Below are 6,731 nucleotides of genomic sequence, written 5' to 3'. Positions count from 1 at the left end.
TCTGATTTTTAAATTTCTTCTGAGTTTTACTGGGCTTTTTTCTCCTAGAAAACTGTGCATTTTATTTATGGTTCTTAGTGTATTTATAAAAAGATATTCATATTAATCTCATGATTTTTAAAATTATCTCCTGTAGCTGGAATTATATCGCCTTTTTGCATCTTAATACTGTTTATTTGTATTCTCTCTCTCACCAATCCTGCCAGAGGTTTGTCTATTTTATTAGTCTTTCAAAAGGACCAGCTTCTGGTTTTACTGAACTTCTCTCTTAGAACACTTTCTATTTCACGAAATTAAAAAAAAATAAATTTCTGCCTTTATTTATTATTTTGTAAATTAGAATCTTGCTCTGTCACCCAGGCTGGAGTGCAGTGGCATGATCATAGCTCACTGCAGACTCAAATTCCTGAAAGCAACCCTCCTGGCTCAGCCTCCCATGTAGCTGAGACTGCAGGTGTGTGCCACCACACCTGGATAATTTTAAGATTTTTGTAGACACAGAGTCTCACTATGTTTCCCCAGCTGGTCTCAAACTCCTGGTCTCAGATGATCCTCCCTCTTTGGCTTCTCGAAGTGCTGGGATTGCAAGCATGAGCCACCGCACCTGGCCAGGTCTTTATTATCTTCTCCTTTCTACCTTCTTTGGGTTTATCCTGTCTTACTTTTCCAACTTTTGAGTTGAACTCTTACCTCATTACCTGTTCAATCTTTCTTTTTTATGGTTTAAGCATTTGAGATGCTATATTTCCCACTGTAATTATATTTTACATGTTTTGATATACCACATTTTTGTTATCTTTTAGGTCTAAATGTTTTCTAATTTCCATTTTATTTCTTCTTTGATCTATGAATTATTTAGAAGTGTGTTTTTAAGTTTAGGACTATGTAGGATATTCTAAAAAAGATTTTAAAATGTTATTTCTAACTTAATTACACTGTGGATCAAGTATGTGATCTGTGTGATATTAGTTCCTTGTTAGGGCTTGTTTTAGGATGCTGCACATAGTCTATTTTGTAGATGTGCCATTTGTATTTGAAAAGAATGTGCATCCTTCAATTGTTAGGTGCAGCTCAAGCTTGCTGGTTGCATTTCTCAAACCGTTAGTCCTTACTCATTTTTATCTACTTAATCTATCAATTACTGAGAGCTATGTTACAGCTGCCATTATGATTTTAGATATGTAAATTTCTTATAGAAATTCTGTCAATTTGATTTTATATATTTTAAGGCAATATTGTTAGCTTCATGCAAATTTAGGATGGCATTAAATAACACAGGTTTGAACTGCGTGGGCTCACTTAGACTTGTATTTTCTTCCACTTCTGCCAACCTTGAGACAGCAAGACCCACCCCTCCTCGTCCTCCTCCTCCGTAGCCTATTTAACGCAAAAATGCTGAGAATGAAGACCTTTATGATGATCCACTTCCACTTAAGGAATAGTAAATATATTTTCTCTTCCTTGTGATTTTCTTAGTAACATTTTCTTTTCCCTAGCTTACTTTAAAGTAAAAATATAATATTTAATACATATAACATACAAAATATGTGTTAATCAACTATTTGTGTTACCAGCAAGGCTTCTGGTCAATAGTAGGGCTATTCGTAGTTAAGTTTTGGGGGAATCAAAAGTTATACACGAATTTTTGGCTGTATGGGGTTGTTGGTGTCCCTAACACCTGCATTGTTCAAGGGTCAGTTGTATCATATATTCATGGCAAATGGTAGCTTTTAATGTTATGGAGTGTTCATCTCTGTACTTAATAATAACAACTATATTGATATACAACAAAATATTTCAGCCCCAGTGTTCTTTGGATTAATATATCCAGAGAATATATATCTTTTTCCATTGTTTTTTGTTCTTTTCTGTGTCCTTGCTTTTTTTCTTTTGAGACAGAGTCTTCCTCTGTGGCCCAGGCTGGAGTGCAGGGGCTTGATCTTGGCTCACTGAACTCCGCCTCCCGGGTTCAGGCGATTCTCCTGTCTCAGCCTCCTGAATAGCTTTTAAGAGATGTCTCTTATAAGCTTCTTAAAAATCTCTGACAGCCTTTGTTTCAGCAAGTGAGTTTAGTCAGTTGACATTTTTGTGATTATTTATATATTGGATTTAATGCTACCATTTTATTTTGTACTTTTTATTTACTCTGTATTCCAGTTTGTCTGCATAACAAACTTCCCCAAAACTTTGTAGTATAAAATAGCGATTTATTATGCCCACAGATTCCGTGGGTCAGGAATGGGATAGGGCTCAGCTCCACGATGTCCGGCACCTCATCTGGAAGCTTTGAAGGCTGGAATCATCTCAGGACTTGCTCACTTACATGTCTGGTGATTGGTGCTGGCTGGCTGCTGAGATCTTAGCTGGACCTGTTGGTCCAAACAACATGTAGGTTTTCCATATGGCTGTGGGCTCCTCACGGCATGGTGCCCAAGTTCCAAGGGCAAGAATCTTGAGAGAGAGAGAGATAGTGTGCACACACACTAAATGGAAGCCGTATTACCTTTTATGATCTAACCTCAGAAATCACACAGCATGACTTCCACCATGTTCTATTGGCCAGGGGAGTAACACAGTCCTTCCAGGTTCAAGGGGAGGCATAAGAGACTCCACCAAGTCTTGATGGGGAGTGTCTGAGTTCTGGAAGTACAAGAGGAATTAGAAATATTGTTGTGGCCATTTTCAGAAAATACAATCTACCACACTCTGCTTTGTTTTTCTTCTTCTCTACTTTCTATTGAAATGATTGAGGCTTGTAAAAAATTATTTTCTTCTCTTCTGCCTACTGTTTTGGAAGCTCAACATTCTATTTTGACTTTTTAAGTATGTTCTCTTAATTTTTTTGCATCTATATTTAACATAAAGTCTGAAGTTAATCAGTCTCTGCTTTCCTCCTGAATGAAACAAGGCCTTGAGAATTCATTTTAGCTCCTATCACCTCTTCCCCAACTTACATATTCTGTTGTTCATATTTTAATTCCATTTTGTCATTATTATTATTAGTAGTAGTAGTAGTAGTATATGCTTAGGGTTTTCTTAAAAACAACATAGGCTTGTTTCAATTAACTGACATGAACTGGCGTGTTTGTTTGTTTGTTTTGAGATAGGATCTTGCTCTGCTACCCAGGCTAGAGTGCAGTAGCACGATCTTGGCTCACTACAACCTCTACCTTCCAGGTTCAAGCAATTCTCCTGCCTCAGCCTCCTGAGTAGCTGGGACTACAGGCGCCCACCATCACACCAGCTAGCTTTTTGTATTTTTGGTAGAGATGGGGTTTCACCATGTTGGCCAGGCTGATCTTGAACTCCTGACCTCAGGTGATCTGCCCACCCTGGCCTCCCAAAGTGCTAGGATTACAGGCATGAGCCACTGAGCCCAGCCCCATGTTTTTTTAAACTATGTTTTTACTATGCTTTCTTGTATTTACTCCATAGTAAGTTTACTTTCAGCAAACCTCTGTAGTTAAAAACTTTCAATCTCTTTACATCTGAAGATGTCTTTATTTCACCCTCACTCTTGAAAAACTGGTTTAGGGCCAGGCATGGTGGCTCATGCCTGTAACCCCAACACTTTGGGAGGCCGAGGCCGGTGGATCACTTGAGGTATCAGGAGGTCAAGACCAGACTGGCCAACATGTTGAAAACCCATCTCTACTAAAAATACAAAAAAAAAAAAAATAATAAAGTTAGCTGGGCATTGTGCTGCCTGCCTGTAACCCCAGTTACTCGGAAGGCTGAGGCATGAGAATTGCTTGAACCTGGGAGGTGGAGGTTGCAGTGAACCAAGATCAAGCCACTGCACTCCAGCCTGGGTGACAGAGCAAGACCCCATCTCAAACAAACAAACAAACAAAACTGGTTTAGCTATGCATAAAATTAAAGCTGACAGTTATTTTCTCTTGGAATTTTAGATATATTCTTCCACTATTTTCTGGGGTCTACGGTTGCTTTTGAGAAGTCTGAAGTCAGTACAAATGTTCTTTTGTAGGTCTTCTGTATGTTTTATCTCTGCTTGCTTAGATCTTTGCCGTTGTCTCTGAAACTTCATAGCAATATTGCCAGATGTGCATTTAGTTTTACATATCCTACCTGGGATTCTTCGTGGTCCCAAACAGGAGGATTTCCAATTCTAGAAAATTCCCAGTCATTATCTCTTGGAATATTGCTACTTCCCTAGTCTCTCTATTCTGTCCTTCTTTAACTACCATGAGATATATGTTGAACATTTTCATTCCAGTCTCTATGTCTCTTAATCTCTAAGATTTTCCATCTCTTTATATTCTGTGTTGCACTATAAGTCATTTCTTAAGATTTATGTTTTAGTTCACTAATTCTTTAGCTATGTCTAATATAGAGTTGTCCCTTGGTATCTGCAGGGGATTGGTTCCAGGACACCCTTGCGAATACCAAACTCTGCATATTCTCAAGTCTTGCACTCAGTCCTGCAGAACTCGCTTAAGTGAAAAGTTGGCCCTCTGTATAGCCAGGTTTTTGAAATCTGTGAATACTGTATTTTCCATCTGCCTTTGGTTGGAAAAAAAACTCACTATAAGTGACCCCATGAAGTTCAAACCATGTTGTTCAAGGGTCAACAGTGCTATTTAAGCTCTCCATAAATTTTTAACTTTAATATCTACGTATTTCATTTCTAGAATTTGGGGGGCTTGAATCTACCCTTATGTTTACTTAGTGACCTTTTATGCTTTCAATTTCTTCTCTATACCTTCAATCATGTCAAGAAATAGAATATTTCCAGCACCCAGCATCCTCTTCATTTGCCAGGCACAGCCCCTGCTCTTCTGAAGAAAATCATTTTCCTGACTTTTGAGGTGATCTTTCCTTTTCTTCCTCCTTTTGCCACCTGCGTTGTTCTTTGTGTTTTTGAATTTTGGATTGCAAGCTTATCTCAACAGAGTTTTATCTCTAGAATCCTGAGCACGCTTAGATGAGAATGTGTTTTTCTAAGACATTTTGCATTTGCTTATGAGTCCCAAATGTATCACTAATCCAGAACTATTTTAAAATAAAACATTATCAAGTTGTTTCTTTCTGTATCAAGAAGCTAGCATAAAGTCAAAGACCAAATCTGTATGAAGAGTTGGTCCATGGTTATAAATTGCCAGATGAGAACTCCTTGTCTAAGTGGAGTCAGACAGACTTCTTTGTCATCTTCCTGGACCAGGACTGTACATTTTCTCTTCCACTCTTTCATCGAAGTGTAATCATTTGAAAGTCAAGCTTCTATGCAAAGATCTCAGTTCAAACATCCCTCTTCAGAAGGCCCAATGCCCAGCCACTGGGTCCCACATGAGCATTAACCCTATGTGCTTGGGTTCCCAATGCCGGCAAAATCATGCAGCCGCTGTAGTGTCAATTCAAGTGCTTCCTGCTCCAGATCCTTTGTGCCTGGCTCACAGGTGAATTGGCTTAAAGCTCAGTTTTGCATTTAAAGGATGCTCGCCTTTCTAGGTCTTTGTCATGGGCATGCATGCTGGTTATCTGGGCCACTACACTGCCGGAACCAAACATCTGGCACCCTCTTCCTCAGCCTCGAATCCCACCATGACCCACTCCTTACATCCTTCTCTCCAGCACGTGAAGCCTGATCTGCTTCTGGGGCTTTTCTATCCATTCCTGGGCCTGACTGCCCTCTAGTTCCAGTGACTTCGGGTGTTGCGGGTGAGTCTACAAACTCTCTGACAGCCCTCTTTCTGCAGCCCCTTAGTCCTTGGCATCCTCGGCCAGTTGCCACTCCCCCATCTGCCTCTGTCTTAGAGAAATAGTTGATGTCTTTTATATGCGGCAGTCTCCTTTCCTCTTCTTGGGGTTCTTATGAGTTTATGCCTTTCTTATATTCTTTGTTTTCATTTTAGTGAAGATTTGGAAGGGAGAGGAAATAAACACACGTGTTCAATTTTTCATGTTTAGCTAGAAGTCCAAACAGTGTGTTATATCATCTTTGTGTTTCTTTCATTGTAAGTGAGGTTGTCCTTTTCAACATATGTTTATTTTCAAATCTTTTTGTTGCATGAATCCTTTGTCTGTTTGTTGTTTGATCTCCTCACCTCACCCCATCTTGACTCTTAGAACGTTCCTATCAATTTATATATTAATTATTTATATGAAAACATTAACACTCTGAAATGTTAGAAGTAAATATTTTTCTTCAGAATAAAAAGTTTCTTTTTTTTTTTTTTTTTTGAGACGGAGTCTCGTTCTATCACCCAGGCTGGAGTGCGGTGGCACAGTCTTGGCTCACTGCAAGCTCCGCCTCCCTGGTTCACGCCATTCTCCTGCCTTAGCCTCCCAAGTAGCTGGGACTACAGGTGCCCACAGCCACGCCCGGCTAATTTTTTTGTATTTTTAGTAGAGACGGGGTTTCACCGTGTTAGCCAGGATGGTGTCGATCTCCTGACCTCGTGATCCGCCCGCCTCGGCCTCCCAGAGTGCTGGGAATACAGGCGTGAGCCACTGCGCCCGGCCAGTTTCTTAGTTTGTTATACCCACGCATTGTTAATTTTATGTAGTTGAACTGCCAGGTTCTATCTTTTGTGATTTCTTCTATGGCTTCTGCATTGACTGGGAGAGGAGATGCTCCCCAAAGCCTCTCTTGCTGATACTCTACTTTGGTTCTGTGGAGAGGGAATCCCTGCAGGGAAGCAGAAGGAGGGCAAAAGGAGAATTTTCACTTGACCCTGGTCATCTGTTAGTATATGGATAATTGAGAATTG

The sequence above is a fragment of the Homo sapiens genome, chromosome 11 (assembly GCF_000001405.40).
Source record: "Homo sapiens chromosome 11, GRCh38.p14 Primary Assembly".
NCBI classification, from domain to species: domain Eukaryota; kingdom Metazoa; phylum Chordata; class Mammalia; order Primates; family Hominidae; genus Homo; species Homo sapiens.
This window is presented reverse-complemented; position numbering follows the sequence as displayed.